At 44.2% G+C, this 18,410-nt stretch overlaps 1 protein-coding gene across 2 annotated transcripts in view, besides 1 other annotated feature; it reads right to left on the bottom strand.

Moving 5' to 3' along the window:
• The window catches only part of SYAP1 (synapse associated protein 1), a 45,729-nt gene extending 33,972 nt beyond the window's left edge, over positions 1-11,757 (bottom strand). For both annotated transcript variants that reach the window (NR_033181.2, NM_032796.4), the window contains exon 1: positions 11,470-11,757. Coding sequence is in view for 1 of the 2 variants with exons in the window: in NM_032796.4 (NP_116185.2) it covers positions 11,470-11,644 (175 nt within the window). In the remaining variant the exon portion in view is untranslated. The remainder of the gene's footprint in view (positions 1-11,469) is intronic.
• Positions 11,888-11,947: an enhancer, noted in NCBI's record as "active region_29454". NCBI's record gives its function as "activates an Ori minimal core promoter by ATAC-STARR-seq in GM12878 lymphoblastoid cells {active_cell/tissue: GM12878}" and the evidence as "EXISTENCE:reporter gene assay evidence [ECO:0000049][PMID:35858748]".

Raw genomic sequence — 18,410 nt, 5'->3', positions numbered from 1 at the left:
ATAACTTTCAATGATGACTACTGCAGTTTTCATAAATAATCTAGGTAAATGATTAAAATAAATAATTAGATAAATGTAATGGGATACTCATAACAAATGTCATAATTTTGAATCTAAAGTTATATTAAATAACAGATATTTCATTATTTGGGTATTTTCCAATAAAAATATATTGTAGGAAAATATTCTTTCTAAACATTGTGTCCTTTTTAAAGGGTAACTAATTTTTGTCTAACTCAAAGCTTATTTAAAGGTTATATATAAAACATGGTAAAAGAAACCAGGAAATAAGAGAGATATAAAGAAAGTTATAAAAATAAAGACAGTTTTAAAGATTACTGGTAAAATAAAATATCTTCAAAATGTAAGCATTTGGTCTAAATTATGCAGGTCAAATATTAGGTTTGCTAAATGCTTTGCATCATAAACTGCTTCTTTGACTTAAACATTGTTTGATTTATTTTGTAGCATTAGATTCTAGAAAAGGCCTGGAGACATGTGAAATTAGCCAAGCCCCCTAGCTATGCAAAAGGTATTAGAGAAAAGAGATTTTATATAAGAAAGGACCTTGTATGGCAAATTCTTGTCCTAAAGTAAAGTAACTGGATGTTTAAAAAGAGGGATGCTTAGGACAAGTCAGAAAGTCAAGGTATGTCATAGCTTGTCTGTGTAAGTTGTGAAAGAATTTATGAAACGGAATTTATGCAACAAATATTGTACAATTTAAAGGTGATTAGGTCTCTTAAATGCTTTATAAAATGCCACTATGACTCTCAGCTGTACAACTTGCCTGCTTTACAGCTAGATAAGGCCTGGGACACATGGAGTTAGATGCTGGAATAAGTCAGACCTTATCTGCACTTCTGTCTACATCTTAGGCTCCACACCTAGTACATAAAATCCCAAACTTACCAAGGTTTTCACCAAAAGTAAAGGTTGCTAAGAGTTAACAGTGTAACATGTATTTAACACTACTGAAGAAACAGATTTTTGTTTGTTTGTTTTTTCTTTTTCTGAGACAGAGTTTCGCTCTTTCGCCCAGGCTGGAGCGCAATGGTGCGATCTTGGCTCACTGCAACCTCCACCTTCTGGTTTCAAGCGATTCTCCTGCCTCAGCCTCCCGAGTAGCTGGGATTATAGGCACCTGCCACCACGCCCAGTTAATTTTTGTATTTTTAGTAGAGACGGGGTTTTACCATGTTGGTCAGGCTGGTCTCGAACTCCTGACCTCATGATCCACCCACCTTGGCCTCTCAAAGTTCTGGGATTACAGGTGTGAGCCACTGTGCCCGGCCTGAAGAAAGTTTTACATGGAAAAGTAAAATATGCTTTTGGTAAAAAGCATATTTACAAGGAAAGTAAAATATGCTTTTGGTAAAAAGATTATAAGGAGGCATGAAAATGTGGATTTTTGCCTAGATTAAAAGGTTAAAGGATTGTTTTAAGTTGGATAAAATAAAGATGAAGGTTTAAGCAAGTTGTGGAAGATTGATTGTAAAGGAAATTCTGTGTGTAAACATACTGGCTAAAGTTAAAAGAGTATCATCCAGTTTTTCTGTAAATTGAGTATTAAAATAAAAGCACATAGGCTGGGCGCAGTGGCTCATGCCTGTAATCCCTGCACTTTGGGAGGCCAAGGTGGGCAGATCACAAGGTCAGGAGTTCAAGACCAGCCTGGCCAACATTGTGAAACCCCGTCTCTACTAAAAACACAAAAATTAGCTGGGCATGGTGGCACGTCTGTAGTCCCAGCTACTTGGGAGGCTGAGACAGGAGAATTGCTTGAACCTAGGAGGCAGAGGTTGCAGTGAGCCGAGATCACATCACTGCACTCCAGCCTGGGTGACAAAGTGAGACTCTGTCTCTAAAAAAAAAAAAAAAAATCGATAAAATCAATAAAATAAAAGCATAACAGGTTTCTTTGAAAGCACTAACCTGCTCTTCAACGAAAATTATAAAGGGTTATAAAAGATCTATAAAAATCTTACCTTATGGTCAAACATTAAAATTGTGTCAATATGTCTATGAGGTTTTAATAAGAATTTGGTTTAACATTAATAGTACACTAACGTAAAGGTGAAATTTGGCTTATTTAGTACCAAAAACCACACAGGAAGCATTGCCAAATATAAAATGGGGTTTGACTTTCTTTGGGCCATATATGTGTAAATATGTTATTGGTATGTGTTCCAAAATCATGTGAAACTCCTATAATTCTGATATATCAGTGTACGTTATCAGTAATAATTATAATTATGTTAAATTATTGTGTGCCACAGAGGTAACAGATTTTGTCAATTGTGTCTTTTTTTTTTTCTTTTTTTTTTTTCGAGATAGCTGCTCGCTCTGTTGCCCAGGCTAAAGCACAGTGGTGTGATCTCGGCTCACTGCAACCTCTGCCTCCCGGGTTGAAGCAATTCTCCTGCCTCAGCCTCCTGAGTAGCTGGGATTACAGGTGTGCACCACCATGCCTGGCTAAATTTTTGTATTTTTAGTAGAGACGGGCTTTCACTGTGTTGCCTGGAGTGGTCACAAACTCCTGAGCTCAGGCAATCCACACACCTCAGCCTCCCAAAGTGCTAGGATTACAGGCGTGAGCCACCATGCCCAGCCTCAACTGTGTCTTTATGGCTACCCGAAAACCTTTTGTCATCCATGAACAATTGTTGTCTTGTTTTGGTCCTCTTTATTTAGTTTTTTTTTTGAGGTGGAGTCTCACTCTGTTGCCCAGGCTGGGGTGCAACGGCATGATCTTGGCTCACTGCAAACTCCGCCTCCCGGGTTCAAGTGATTCTCCTGCCTCAGCCTCCCAAGTAGCTGGGATTACAGGTACCCGCCATCATGCCTAATTTTGTTTGTATTTTTGTAGAGATGGCGTTTCACCATGTTGGCCAGGCTGGTCTTGAACTCCTGGCCTCAGGTGATCCACCTGCCTTGGCCTCCCAAAGTGCTGGGATTACAGGCATGAGCCACTGTGCCCGGCTGTTTTGGTCCTCTTTAGAAGTTGATTTTATAATCAGCTATAAAGCTCTAACAAGTGCTCTTGAATGCAGGTTTCTGATAACTTTGGAGATTGTGACATCAGAACAGAGGAAAAATGTTCAGGACTCCTGAAGAGCTAACATGTTCATTAATATCAAGCAGGACAGTAATTAACTGCATGAACTGAATAGGAGACTGGAGTGATCTTTTTGAGTTTTTGCTTAAAATATTGCTAATCCTTTGTTTTACTTTTCAGAGTCAAGGAAACTTTTCTTCTGAGCTACTGACAGCTTTTAACAATTTAGTATACTCCCATGAACAAAATGTGGAGCATATTTGTTTCTACCCAATTTTCTCCAGAATTTGGAAACTATTTGTGAGTATTCTTAATTATGGCAATATAGTTATTTGCATAAGTTCAATAAGAATCTGTTTTCATTTATAACAGGACACAACTGGAAAAACTTGTTATTTTACCAAGGCTTTAACTGGAATGGTGTGTTTTCCTTTAATGAATCAAACTTGACTTAGGGAGCCAAGAAAACCCTTGGAAAACTGCCCTCATATTTTGTGTACAGTCCCTGTACAGGGTTTCTGATCTGTGGTAAGTAAAGAATGTCACCTTCTGACAGGCCAGGAACCCCAAGTTATCTTGGGACCTCAAGAGGAGAGGAATTCACCCAAGTCATAGGTATTTCATGGTACAAATCCATGGCTGGGCTTGGCTTTAAAAAGGTCTTATCTTACCAGGTAAGGTGGCTCACTTCTGTAATCCCAGCACTTCGGGAGGCCGAGGTGGGTGGATCACCTGAGGTCAGGAGTTTGAGACCAGCCTGACCAACATGGAGAAACCCCCTCTCTACTAAAAATACGAAATTAGCTGCACATGGTGGCGCATGCCTGTAATCCCAGCTACTTGGGAGGCTGAGGCAGAAGAATCACTTGAACCCGGGAGGCGGAGGTTGCAGTGAGCCGAGATCATGCCATTGCACTCCAGCCTGGGCAACAAGAGCAAAACTCTGTCTCAAAAAAAAAAAAAAAAAAAGTCTTATCTCAGATTCCTTCTATGGAACAAAGTTCCATCAAAGCCTGTTTTTTTTTTTTTAATTTTTAAAATATATATTAAATAAAAAAATTTTATTTTAAAAGAAAATGATTTTTCTTGCTGCACTTTATACAAATAATCTGGCCAAGTACAATAAAGCAAATTGGTCCTACCATGATTTGTCTTCTAATAAAAATAGGAAACTAGAGAGAGAAAAATTTTGTTTCAAAAACTATAGTATACCTGTTGTTAAATTCTATGCCTGATGTTTTTCAGTTTTTATTTTTTTCCACAGTTTGGATTAAATTCTAATTTTTCTGGCCACAGGTCTTCAAAATAATGTTTTCAATTTTTCCTTTTCCTTTTCCTTTTTCCCCATTTTTCCTATTTGGAAATCACTGAAACCTAAGCTGTGCTTTCTTAAAGCCCTGTGAACTGAAGACTAGACAACTTAAACTTCAGAAGAAAACAGCAGTAACCTATTTATATGTGTTGCTGTTACATACTATTATGTTTCAGCAGGTGCTGCCTCTAAGCCTCTGAAACAGAGAGTGCTACCGGGAACAAGTTGACCTCTTCTACTTCAGTGCTGCATTCAGTGCCCCATAATGATGAGCCCCTCTAAGCAAAAAGTAGCCAGAAAGATTATGATGCCCCATCTCCCTACGATTCTCATGATAAATAAATATACAAGCATGATAGAAATCATGCGCAAATTGACAGTGGGGATTGCGGCAGGCCAGGACTCACTAACATAGGCTTCCATCACAACTGTTTCAGTACTGACTGAGTGGTTAAGTTAAATATTAAAAGCCAGTGACCTTATACAAAGGCTGGGATGTAACAAAAGCCCAAGAGTTTTGCCTAGGACTTTCCTGAACCTTAAAGCACGATTAAGTAAGTTTTACTGGGGGGTCTGAAGAGACTCCCCAGGCCTCCACAAACAAGTTGATTGGGGGTCTGAAGGAACTCCCCAAACCTCCATGATTTAGCAGGAGACAAGATAAGGGTAATCACCTCAGCACCTGGACCCAGTTAGATTAAGTAAATTTACTGAGGCTCCAGAGGAAGGTCTTCAGGACTCAGACCTTAGTTATAGATTAAAAGAAGTTAATCACTTATGTCTTTAGATGAGTGCACACTTAACACGTAGACGTATAGCTTAGAAGGTATATAAGCTCTGGAAAACTTTCTAATTTTGCGTTGGTCTGGTGATAATTTCCAGGCCTTCTCCCTGGAGCCACTTACAGAAATAAAAACTCTCTTCCTTCCCAGTTGACCTGCATCTTGTTATTGGGCCACGAGAAATAGCAGCCTGACCCTCAGTTTGGTCCAGGAACAAAACCATGCTTTGCAGTCAGAGAAACAAATCTAAAGTTCCAAAAGAAGAGGGTTCTTTTGGAAATAAATTCCTTTTATCCCTTCCTCAGAAACATATTTTGAATTCAAACAATGATTTTTATTCCAAGGGAGAACTGTCATTTAAAAACTGGTATTTTAGCATAATCATTGCATTCCTTAGATTTTAATGACTCCATGGATGGAGTTTACTGAACACACTGAATATCTGAGAAAGCACAAGTTCTTGCCCTCCAGGAACGTCCATCTCTAAAGCAAAACAAATAAATAGAGAATCAAAGACAAAAAGAGGAACAAGATTATTCATTAAGCAGATGTGGCAGCATGGAGGGAGAACTGTCTCCAGAGAGTTATTAGAGTGGCCTGGGAGTGAGATGGAGAGCATGACAAGAGATTTTCAGGGAAGAAGTCCATAAAGACAAGAAGTGATTTATTAATTTTGCAAAGAGATCAGCTGACACCACGTTGAAGACAGTTTTTATTTTGATTTTTATTTTTTATAGAGATGGAGTCTCACTATGTTGTCCAGGCTGGTCTCAAACTCCTGGGCTCAAGCAACCCACCCGCCTTGGCCTCCCAAAGTTTTGGGATGACAACTGTAAGCCACCGCACCTGGCCAAAGACAGTTTTTATGAACTGTCTAGGAAAAAACTGAAACTAAGATAGGAGTTAACAGGAAGTAACAGGAGTACAATGTCCACTTCAGTCCATAAAGTGAGGGTCTGAAACGAAGTAGCGCCAAAGAAAAGGAAGTCAAATTCAAATGTATCTGAATACGACTTAGCGACCTGCTGGAAGGTGGGGGCCGACAGCTAACATTTAAAGTAGTTATTTTACCTTCATTTTAATTATGCCATGTTTTATTCTCATAACCTTCCTGGGACAAGGAGAAGGAATAATCTGCCCAGTTCAAAAAAAGGGAAGCTGAGGCTCACAGAGGAAAAATGATTTGTCCTATGTGATAGGGGCAGATCTTGCTGGCTGCCCAGCCAGTAGCCCATCTCTTCTGCCTTGTTAAAACCACCCCAATTTTGATGCGTGCCCATGTGGCCAGCCCCAGAGAATGAATCTTGACAAGTCCACACCAAAGAAGGTAATGGCACTACCTCTGTCAGGATCTCTGCCACATACTTGCTGAGAGTCCCGTGAAGCTTAGAAAAGCCATGTGACAGCTCCACCCCAAGAAATTTAAGGGGACACCTGCAAGTCGGCATCCAGAAACATTTTCTTTCTTAATAAAAAGGGAGCTATGGGGAGAGTCCTCGTCCTCCCTTTCTACTGCAGTTGCTGTCTTGTGAGCCTGAAGTGATCAGCCTGAGGATGGAAACCAACTCACTATGGATGAAGGAGAGGAAGCGTGGAAGAGATTGGTTCCCTGATCATATCGTTGAGCCATGGAACTGACCCTGGGACCTCCCTCCCATCCCCACATTTCTTGGAGACTCTGCAGAAAAGCATTAACATGGCAGGCCTGAGACTGCTGTCCTTGGAAAGGCTTGCTTTCAAGGTTGGCCACTGGCTGGGTGTCCGGGAACTTAGATTTCGGGAGGGCTCCCACCATTTCTTAAACTGCTAAGAATGCCTCATTGTGGTTTATGCTGAACTCCCGCTTTCCTTGTGGGGTCTGGAATTTGGATATGTGGTAGGCAGAGGATACCTATACGACCAGTCCCCAGTAAAAGTCCTGGGCACTGAGTCTCTAATGAGCTTCCCTGGAAGACAGCATCTCACACGTGTTGTCACAACTCCTTGCTAGAGGAATTAAGCACGTCCTGTGTGACTCTACTGTGCCTGCTTACCCCTGGACTTCCACCCCATGTGCCTTTTTCCTTTCCTGATTTTATTCTTGTACTCTTTCATTGCAATACATCACGGCCATGAATACAACTATATGCTGAGTCCCATAAGTCTTCCTAGCCAATCATCAAACCTGGGGATGGTTCTTGGGGACTCCCTGACACAAAAATAAAGTTTCTTTCATTAAGCCTCTGATCACTGGACTTTCTGTAATTTGCAAATGATATAACAATAAAGACAGTAAGTAGTGTAGGGAACTCAAACACAGGCTATCTGCCTCTAAATCCCAAGCTCATGCTCCAATCCCACGCTGCCTCAGGTCAGTTGAGCAAGTTGACAAGGGCTTGAAGAACTGAAAGGAATGGTAAGAATAAAGTAAAGTAGGAAGAGCTTCAAAGGTCAGAAAAAACATAAATTTGTTAAAGTAAACACAGAGCAAGGTAGAGTTTAAGGCCTGCCGCAAGAATAGGAAGAGAATAAGCATACAGTGGCAAAGTCTTAGGAAATTAATATTCTTATAAAGTAGTTGGTTAATTTTTCAAAGATACTATATTTCATACAATTTTAGAATTTCAGCATCTTAGTGTGGGAATGGACCTTCCTATCCAGGTAGCCCCACTTCCAGGGGTAGGGAGCACAGGACTTAGAAGGGCAGCCAGTAATTACTGTTACTCAACTCTAATCAGAAAATTCTTCTCACTTCTCTAGTCATTTCTACCCCACAGCCTCAGGTCTATCCTCATAAGGAACATCTACGACTTCTTTTCTGCAAAAGACCTTTCAGATTTTCTGCAATGTCCCTAAGTTTCTTCTTCAAATCGAGATCCCCAATTTTAAAAAGTATTGTTCATAAGCCCTAGGATCCAAGCTATTGACTGTGCATTGTAAACCTGGGTGTGTTATCAGAACTCAATTAGATATTTTACTCCCACATCAAAGCAGGTACATAGTCACCTCTGTACACTCTAACTTTAGGAGTCCTCTTAGTTTGCAAGTTAGGCAGCTGGAACTTGAAATATACTTTCCCTACAGAAGAAAAGGAGGACAGTCTAACACAGGTCCACTGCAATACTAATAGCACTTTTCAAAGGAGGAGGAGGTGGCCCTTTCCCCATTCCTAGGCATGGAATAGTTTTAGGGGCGGTTTAGAAAAAGCTAAAGATCACAAAGCTCATCTTTGGCCATCCTCCCACTGATGTAAACTGTGTGACTGATTCAGATATTTAACATTCTCAGAAGTACAGATTTTCTTTTTATTTATTTATTTTTTTCAGAAAGAGTAGAGGCAAAGCTTTAATTTGGTTGACTTTAACAAAAACCAACTAACCAACTTAACGGCATGGGGCCTTGAGGGAGGTAGGGAGGAGCTCTTAAGTGAGTTCTCCTATAAATTGTTCCTTCCTTTGGAGACAGTGACAATCGGAGGTTGTAAATTTATCAGGAGGGAGGGCCAAGAATCAGGAGACCAGGAGGTTTGGTTTTGAGTGAGGGAGTGGAATGCAGGCCTGGGTGTCCACCACTAACTGGTGAGTTGCCTGAATGTATAAATAGGTCACCAGGAACCAGGAAGTATTTAGTGTCCAGTCTTGAAGGTAGGCACTCAACAAATATATGCAGAACAAATGGGGCTCCCAGGAGATTTTTTTTTTTTTTTTTGTGAGATGCAGTCTCACTTTGTCACCTACACTGGAGTGCAGTGGCGCGATCTCGGCTCACTGCAACCTCCGCCTCCCGGGTTCAAGCGATTCTCCCGCCTCAGCCTCTTGAGTAGCTGGGATTATAGGCGCGCACCACCACGCCCAGCTAATTTTTGTATTTTTAGTAGGGACAGGGTTTCACCACGTTGGTCAGGCTGGTCTCGATCTCCTGACCTCGTGATCTGCCTGCCTTGGCCTCCCAAAGCTGCTGGGATTATAGGCGTGAGCCACCGCACCCGGCTGATATTTTATGTAGATTTCAAAAGACTTAAGAAATGAATCTACTCTGGGAGTCAGGCTCACAGATGTTTAATTCCAGTTTTCAAAACATAAATGGGTCTTCTTAAAGACAATATACTTCTTAGGATCAATATGTAGAAATAAAAAATATCTGATCATCTCTCTTGTCTCTCACAGTTTGTATATGAACTAGAACCTTTACGACTTTCTAAAATCACATAAATTTCAGAAAAGAAAGAATTCTCATTTATTCTGAAGCTTTAAATTCACAATGTGTGTGTGTTTGTGGGTACTTCCATCTAACCTCAGCTTCCGTAAATATCAAAAGAGAATCTGGTGAGCAGAAAGATGGCAGCATTAGCTCCAAAGTACACATCCATATGAAAAATGCAGTTATTAGAAAATATTCAGAGGGGCCAGGCACGGTGGCTCACGCCTGTAATCCCACCACTTTGAGGCCAAGGTGGGTGAATCACTTGAGATCAGGAGTTTGAGACCAGCCTGACCAACATGGTGAAACACTGTCTCCATTAAAAATACAAAAAAAAAAAAAATTAGCCAGGTGTGGCAGCGTGTGCCTGTAGTCCCAGCTACTCAGGAGGCTGAGGCAGGAGAATTGCTTGAACCCAGGAGGTGGAGGTTGCAATGAGCCGAGATCGTGCCATTGCACTCCAGCCTGGGCGACAGAGCAAGACTATTCTATCTGGGGGCCTTGGGCTGAGATTATACACTGTCATGGTTTGAGATTATGTCTGTTTTCCCTGTCCTTTCATCCCACAGTAAACTTTTAAACGTTAGGGCCCAGCCTGCCCAACATCGCGAAACCCCATCTCTACTAAAAATACAAAAATTAGCTGGGCGTGGTAGGGCATGCCTGTAATCCAAGCTACTGGAGAGGATAAGGTAGGAAGATCACTTGAACCCTGGAGGTGGAGGTTGCAGTGAGCCAACATCGTGCCACTGCACTCCAGCCTGGGCGACAGAGTGAGACCCTGTCTCCAGAAAAACTGTTCGGCCCTTTCTTACTCAAATATGTGTTTATCTACTCTCAGGCTGCTCTCCTCCCACATCCCTGTCTCCACCCCCATCCCCCCACCCCCATCTTTTAGTAGATTCTTCAAATGTTGCTGAACTTAGTATCTACCTTTGTTGCAGTTCTCTCACTTGTAGTGCTGGGCTGCTTTAGGGCTCACCTCCTCAAAGATGCTTTTTTGTTTTGTTTTGTTTTGTTTTTTTGAGATGGAGTCTTGCTCTGTCACCCAGGCTGGAGTGCAGTGGTGCGATCTCAGCTCACTGCAACTTCCACCTCCCCAGTTCAAGCGATTCTCCTGCCTCAGCCTCCTGAGTAGCTGGGATTACAGGTGCCCGCCACCACGCCCGGCTATTTTTTGTATTTTTAGTAGAGACGGGGTTACATCGTGTTGGCCAGGCTGGTCTCGAACTGCTGACCTCATGATCCGCCCACCTCAGCCTCTCAAAGTGCTGGGATTACAGGCCTGAGCCACCATATCCGGCCTCAAAGATGCTTTCTGTGATCACTGAAGCCCACCATGGTCTCTCCAGAAATGAGAATTACTACAGCATGTGTTTACTCCACGTCTATTATCACCTGTCCCCCAACCCCTGTAGACTGTAAACTTGGAAAGAGCACGGGCTTTAAAATGAGAAAGATCGAAGCTCAAATTCCACTTCTACCACTCACTATCAGTATAACTTTGGCCCAATAACTCTGGGCTTGTTCCCCCAACTCACTGGGGGTGTTTAACAGATGAAATGGGATATCTTTCATAAAACATCTAGTACTGCAACTTGCGTATAGCAGACAGTTGGCATTTTCTCTCCCTCCTTAAGGAAAAAGGTCTCTGTACCTAAAAAGCATTTGACCGGGGCAGACATTGACATTCAGTAACTGTCAGTTTACTTCAGACAACACGTTCTGACCTAGGGGCAAAAAATTATTTTTTCAACCAATTCAAGCTCGCCAACTATCCCCGATCTGGGGGGTGTAAATGAAGGTTTTCGAGTTGAACAAAAAAGATTCCTTGTCAAACCTGAAGACGTCGGGTCACACTGCTTGACTGCATACCTGATTCCAATGTCTGCAAACTTTGTAGACTTGTCACCAGGAACTTCAGGGACAGGACCTGACTGCTAGATGAAGCTCTGGCCTCGTCCAGATCCTCACCAATCTCTCCCGACCCGGAGAGGACTGACCGACAGACACATCTTCCTCCCCTGCCTCCCACCTCGGCCCCCTCATCCCCCAGCCAGTCGGGCCCGCGCCCCAGGGCCGTCCCAGAGGAGGAATGCGCCCCCCCCTTCCCGGTCCCAGAGCCAGGGTAGACTCACTGCCGAAGTCTTTGGCCTGGTGGAGGAGCTCCTGGTCTCCCGCTTGCTGCAGCTCCTCCTCCGCAGACTCAGCCACCGTCTCGGACGGCTGCTCGGGTGGAGCATCTCCATTGGGCTGCCCACCGCCTGCCACCGGCTGCTGCAAGCCCAACCAACTGCTCAAGCCCCGGAACATCCCGCTCGCGGGCCGCCGCCGCGGTCCCGATCCCCAGAGACCGCAGCGAGCACTGGTTGCCTTTGACTCCACTCTGCGCGACTCCCAGGGAGATGTCCGGAAGTCGGAGGAACACCGCAGCCGCCGCAGCCCCGCCTCTATGACGACTCCGCCGCGGCCGCGCAAGCGTCACTTCCGTCCAAAGGCTCCGCCCCTGGTGACGTCAGTTGTGACAACTGTTTTGTGCGCGTGGATAGGGGACAAAGAGCTTTCCCAGCGTAGCCCTGCCTTCCCTCTTTTCCTCATTCGCCAGCTTTGTAGGTGACTGACCTAGTAGGCATGTGGACGGTGTCTTTGTCACAGTCCTAGCCAGTCCCATTTTAAGATTGCCTCTAGGCAGCTTGGCTGGTGACTTAGTCTCGCCTTTTCAGGTCCCGCAGGGCTGCGTTCCCGCAGAATTGGATGTCTTTAGCCTCCTCCTGAGCCCAATTCAAAACTAACCCAAAGCCGCCAAGCCCAACAGGGAATAAGAGGACAGAATAAGGTGTTAAACAACACAATGGGATGCTGTCAGCAGAATCTAGACTATGAGAAGCCACAGGACAGACAACCTTGTTTCTTCAAATAAATTGCAAGGAAGAGAGGAGTGTGGTGGGGAACCTATAGATTAAAAAAGACTTAAGAGATGTAACACATGGCCCCTTGTGCATTTTATTAGGATCCTAATTCAGCAAACACATTGAAAAAAATAGTATGATACTTATTATAAGAACTGGAAATTTGGACACTGGGTAGTTGATAAAATTAAGGAATTGTGAAATTACAAAATTTTAATTGTGGTAAAATACACAAAATTTACCATCTTAATATGATTTACCATCTTAACCGTTTCTAAGTGTACAATTCAGTACTGTTAAGTACATTTACATTGTTGAGCAATCAATCTTCAGAACTCTTCATCTTGCAATTAAAAGAATGAAAAATAGTCCGAGTGCGGTGGCTCACGCCTGTAATCCCAGCACTTTGGAAGGCCGAGGCGGGAGGATCACAAGGTCAGGAGTTCGAGACCATCCTGGCTAACACGGTGAAACCCCGTCTCTACTGAAAATAGAAAAAAATTAGCCGGGCGTGGTGGCGGGCGCCTGTAGTCCCAGCTACTAGGGAGGCTGAGGCAGGAGAATGGCGTGAACTCGGGAGGCAGAGGTTGCAGAGTCCATTCTCAAAAAAAAAAAAAAAAGAAAAAAGAAAAATAGAACTTCATCTTGCAAAACTGAAACTACCTATGAAACAACTCCCCATTCCTGTCCTTGTCATCCCCCTCCTCCCCCCATTCTACTTCTTGTCTCTATGGATCTGACTAGATACCTTAATATAAGTGGAATCATTCAGTATTTGTCTGTAACTGGCTTCTTTCACTTAGTATAATGTCCTCAAGGCTGTGTCAATTTCTTTTTAAGAGTGAATAGTATTCCCTTGTATGTATACACCACGTTTTGTTTATCCATCTGTTTATCCACCGCACATATTGAGATTTTACCAAAGAAATGATACCATATCTGGGCCAGGCGCAGTGGCTCACGCCTGTAATCCCAGCGCTTTGGGAGACCGAGATGGGTGGATCACCTGAGGTTAGGAGTTTGAGACTAGCCTGACCAACATGGTGAAACCCCGTTTGTACTAAAAATACAAAAAATTAGCTGGGTGTGCTGGCGGGCGCCTGTAATCCCAGCTACTCGAGAGGCCGAGGCAGGAGAATCACTTGAACTCAGGAGGCGGAGGTTGCAGTGAGCTGAGATCCTGCCATTGCCCTCCAGCCTGGATGACAAGAGCAAAACTCCGTCTCAAAAAAAAAAAAAAGAAAAAGAAAAAAAGAAATGATGCCACGTCTGGAATTTGCTTCAAATTAATACAGGATGGGGGTGGGGGGAATGGGGGGGGATATAGATGAAACAAGCCTGGCCATGGGTTGAAGCTGGGTAGTTAAACATTTGTCTTTTTTATATTTTTAACTTTTCCCACAATAACATGTAAAACTAACAAAAAACTAGTGATGTGCATAACTACCCCTTCAGAGCAGGGAGTTCATGGACACATTTCCCAAGCACAGTCTTCAGTCATTAATTGTGGAAGGACATCCATGATTCCTTGCTCCCCAACTATTTTGAGAAGAGGAGGACAGTTCCGGTGACCTGAGGGAATACATGAGGAATTGATTACAACTCTGATTTCCCTGCTGTCCAGTTTTCCAGCCTGACTTATATTTATATTTTATTCAGGTCCAGGATTTTAGGTTATCAAGCCCAACCTGTTTTTTTCTTTCCCCCAAACAGCTGAGATTTAAACAATTCACCTGTTTAAAGTGTACAATTCAATGGTATATATTTTTGGTGTATTACACTATTAATATTTTAAATTGAAGTAAAAATAAATTTTTTTTAGTGTACAGTTCAGTGGCATTGATGACATTCCAGCCTGTTTTTAGAGTCCAAGTATTGATTCAGCTTTGAAGTCAGGAGATGTCTTAGGATCAATGCCTTTCTAGGCTTTATTAAGTCAATGAGAACCTGAAAGTGGTTGAGACTTTCGGGAATAGGATATTTGCTTCAAGTATGATTGAACAGAGCCTGGAATTTGAGTGAGAAGCCTAGGATGGGCTTCTAATTCCACCATCTAGTAGGTGAATAAACTTGACTTTTTTTTTTTTTTTAGACGGAGTCTCACTCTGTCTTGCCCAGGCTGAAGTGCAGTGGCACAATCTCGACTCACTGTATCCTCTGCCTCCTGGGTTCAAGCAATTCTCCTGCCTCAGCCTCCCAAATAGCTGGAATTACAGGCACCTGCCACCACACCTGGCTAATTTTGTATTTTTAGTAGAGACGGGGTTTCACCATGTTGGCCAGGCTGGTCTCGAACTCCTGATCTCAGGTGATCCACCCACCTTGGCCTCCCAAAGTGCTGGGATTACAGGAGTGAGCCACCGCACCCGGCCTAAACTTGACGTTTTACTCATCCTTTTGCCCCTCAAGTTCCCTCACTTGCAAAAGAAGTATAGTGCTGGTCCTTCCCACAGCAGAGATAGGGCCCAGCCCTTTCAGCCTTACTCTGCTTTATCTTAAGGTACACTCAAAATCGTGGTGAACACTGTGGTCACCAAGGGATAGACAGTTTTACAACTCTTCTGAAAGGTAGAATTCTTAAAAATAAGAGATTAGGCTGGGCACAGTGGCTCATGCCTGTAATCCCAGCACTTTGTGAGGCCGAGGTGGGAGGATTGCTTGAGTCTAGAAGTTTGAGACCAGCCTGGGCAACATAACGAGACCCTGTCTATACAAAAAATAAAAAATGAGCTGGGTGTAGTGGCTTGCACCTGTCGTCTCAGCTACTCAGGAGGCTGAGGCAGGGGGATTGCTTGAGCCTGGGAGCTGGAGGCTGCAGTGAGCTGTGATCGTGCCACTGCACTCCAGCCTGGGTGATAGAGCGAGACCCCGACTGAAAAAAAGAAAAAAAAAAAAGATTACAAAACAAGAACATAAGCAATCAACTTAATGATGGGCTTCATTTTCATTTTAAAAAAATCATCTGGCCAGGCACGGTGGCTCATGCCTGTAATCCCAGAACTTTGAGAGGCCGAGGCAGGTGGATCACCTGAGGTCAGGAGTTCGAGACCAGCCTGGCCAACATGGTAAAACCCTGTCTCTACTAAAAATACAAAAATTAGTCGGGCGTGGTGGTGGGCGCCTGTAATCCCAGCTACTCAGGAGGCTGAGGCAGGAGAATCACTTGAACCCGGGAGGTGGAGGTTGCAGTGAGCTGGGATCATGCCATTGCACTCCAGCCTGGGCGACAAGAATGAATCCCCACCTCAAAAAAAAAAAAAAAAAATCATCTTGTGCGGATTCAGCAAGATGTTATGCTGGTGGTGGGCCATGAACTGACACTTGTTGAATGAGGATACATCCTTATCCCACACAATTCAGTCAATCCACACCCTGTTATCAAATTTGTTTTCCAGCTCATTATTTTTCCCATTTGAGATTAATAATACAATAGTTATTATAATGAGCCCTTTGTATATACAGATTATCTTTTATCCATTAGCCTCATGGATGAATAGAATAGGACAATTGGATCAGGCCTCACATCCTGTGGTGGAGTCTGGCTGTGCATTGATGTCCTGGCTTTGCCACTCATATTAACTAACGTACCCTTGGTCAAGACATTTCACATCTCTGAACCTCAGGTCCCTCATTCTAAAAAGGGGATCATAACAACTGTCCTGGTTCTAAAAAGATAATGAAAGACGGAACTGTGGAAGGAAACCTTACATATGCGGCAGGTATTAAGTATTAGCACCCATACCAACCCATTTCACAAACATTCTTTCCCCTGAGCCCTCTGGAAGACTTGTTTATGCCTCTAGCCTTTTGACAAGGTGGTTCCTTGTCCCTCCCCTGGACCCCCCAACACCCATGGAGACCTGGATCTCCCCCAAGGCTACCCTGCTGAGTGAAGCGTCTGCTTATTTTCCCAGAAATTGACATCATTGTTCCAAGTTCCTTACTGCTTCCTCCACAACACTGTTCTTTCATCCTTGGTGGGGAGAAACTCCATTGTGTTTATTTTATTTTATTTTTTGAGATGGAGTTTCGCTCTTGTCGCCCAGGCTGGAGTGCAATGGCGCGATCTGGGCTCACTGCAACCTCCACCTCCCGGGTTCAAGAGATTCTCCTGCTTCAGCCTCCTGAGTAGCTGGGACTACAGGCACCCGCCACCGCGGCCGGCTAATTTTTTGTATTTTTAGCAGAGACGGGGTTTCACCGTGTTAACCAGGATGGTCTCGATCTCCTGATCTCGTGATCCACCCACCTCGGCCTCCCAAAGTGCTGGGATTACAGGGGTGAGCCACCATGCCTGGTCGTGTTTATTTTTTTAAATTAATTAATTGATTTTTTTTTTGAGACAAGGTCTCAGTCTGTCGTCCAGGCTGGAGTGCAGTGGCACGGTCATAGCTCATTGCAGCCTTGACCTCCTGGGCTCAGGCGACCTTCCTGCTTCAGCCTCCCCTGGGATGCATGCCAGCACACGTGATAATTTTTGTATTTTTTGTAGAGACAGGATTTTGCCATGTTGTCCAGGTAAGTCACCAACTCCTGGACTCAAACTATCTGCCTGCCTCAGCCTCTCAAAGTGCTGGGATTACAGGGGTGTGCCATGGCGCCAGGCCTCCATTGTGTCTTGAAAGGCACTGACATTTGTTCTGCAACCTTCTCCCTTTCCTTGTCACAGTCATCTATTAGTTTCAGGCTCACTACCCACCCCGCAACCCCAATTCTCTAAAGTTCCTTGACCTCGATTGACTCCTCCACCTCCTGCCATCCTTTTGGGACCCTCGATGTCCAACATACCAGCCTTGTGGGCACTAAACCCAAGGCCAGTGATGCCCATCTCACTTTTCTATTCCATTGTAGCTGCCACACCCCAAACTGTCTCATTTCCTGGAATATCCATTTGAAGGCCTGAACTCCAGCACCACACTCTCTGCTGCCAGTTTGCCAGTCCTCTCCTCAGAGGCCCTGGCCTTGGAGCCCTTCTCTCATCTGTCTCCCAGTCCATCAGCTCCCCGCTGGTTTTATTAACAGTTCCTGTCCTCTAGGACTAGAGCTCTGGCCCATCACTGCAATCGCAGTCTTTCTGTGCCCTCCACCTCCTCACCCTCTTGTCCTTCTATTCTATGCAAGCAGGAAACTTGGGTTTCATAACTAAGAGCTATATTTCTGTAGATACCTTGCCAGATTATAGCAGATTATAGCTGGACACCACTACACGATGATGGTTTCTAAACTCCACTAGGTCTTCAGTGACTCTTGTCTAACTTGTCGCTCTAGCATCTCACACTGGTTATGCGAAATTTCCACCACTTTCCTAAAACCTTCCATCTCACTTCAGACCCTTCTGTTGTCCATGTTAGCTTCCTTCAGTGGTTGGCTTCTTGCCTTCACCCGAAAAACCTCCTGTATCCGTTCCCAGCACCAATCATCCTCCAATACTCTTTTTTTTTTTTTTTTTTGAGACAAAGTCTCCTCTGTCACCCAGGCTGGAGTGCAGTGGCCTGATCTCGGCTCACTGCAACCTCTGCCTCCCAGGTTCAAGCGATTCTCTCTGCCTCAGCCTTCGGAGTAGGTGGGATTACAGGCAGGTGCCACCACACCTGGCTAATTTTGCATTTTTAGTAGAGACAGGGTTACACCACGTTGGCCAGGCTGGTCTCGAACTCCCGACCTCAGGTGATCCGCCTGCCTTGGCCTCCCAAAGTGCTGGGATTACAGGCGTGAGTCACCCGAAGAGTGACTTTTTAGAGTATTTGGGCGGGGTGCAGTGGCTCAAGCCTGTAATCCCAGCATTTTGGGAGGCAAGGCAGGAGGATCAGCTGAGGTCGGGAGTTCGAGACCAGCCTGGCCAACGTGATGTAACCCCGTTTCTGTTAAAAATGCAAAATTAGCCGAGCTTTTTGGCATCCGCCTGTAATCCCAGCTACTCCGGGGGCTGAGGCAGGGACAATCGCTTGAACCCGGGAGGCGGAGGTTGCAGTGAGCCCAGATCGCGCCATTGCACTCCAGCCTGGGCAAAAAGGGCGAACGAAACTCCGTCTCAAAAAAAAAAAAAAAAAAAAAGTCACTCTTGGAAGCCTTAATTGCCTTCCTCCCCTCACTGCACCCCCGCAACTCTTTGCTGCAGAAGTATTGTTCTAGGGAACCTTACTGGTTCCAACAGACGGGTGGACCTCCCA

This window comes from Homo sapiens, chromosome X (assembly GCF_000001405.40).
Source record: "Homo sapiens chromosome X, GRCh38.p14 Primary Assembly".
NCBI classification, from domain to species: Eukaryota; Metazoa; Chordata; class Mammalia; order Primates; family Hominidae; genus Homo; species Homo sapiens.
This window is presented reverse-complemented; position numbering and strand designations above follow the sequence as displayed.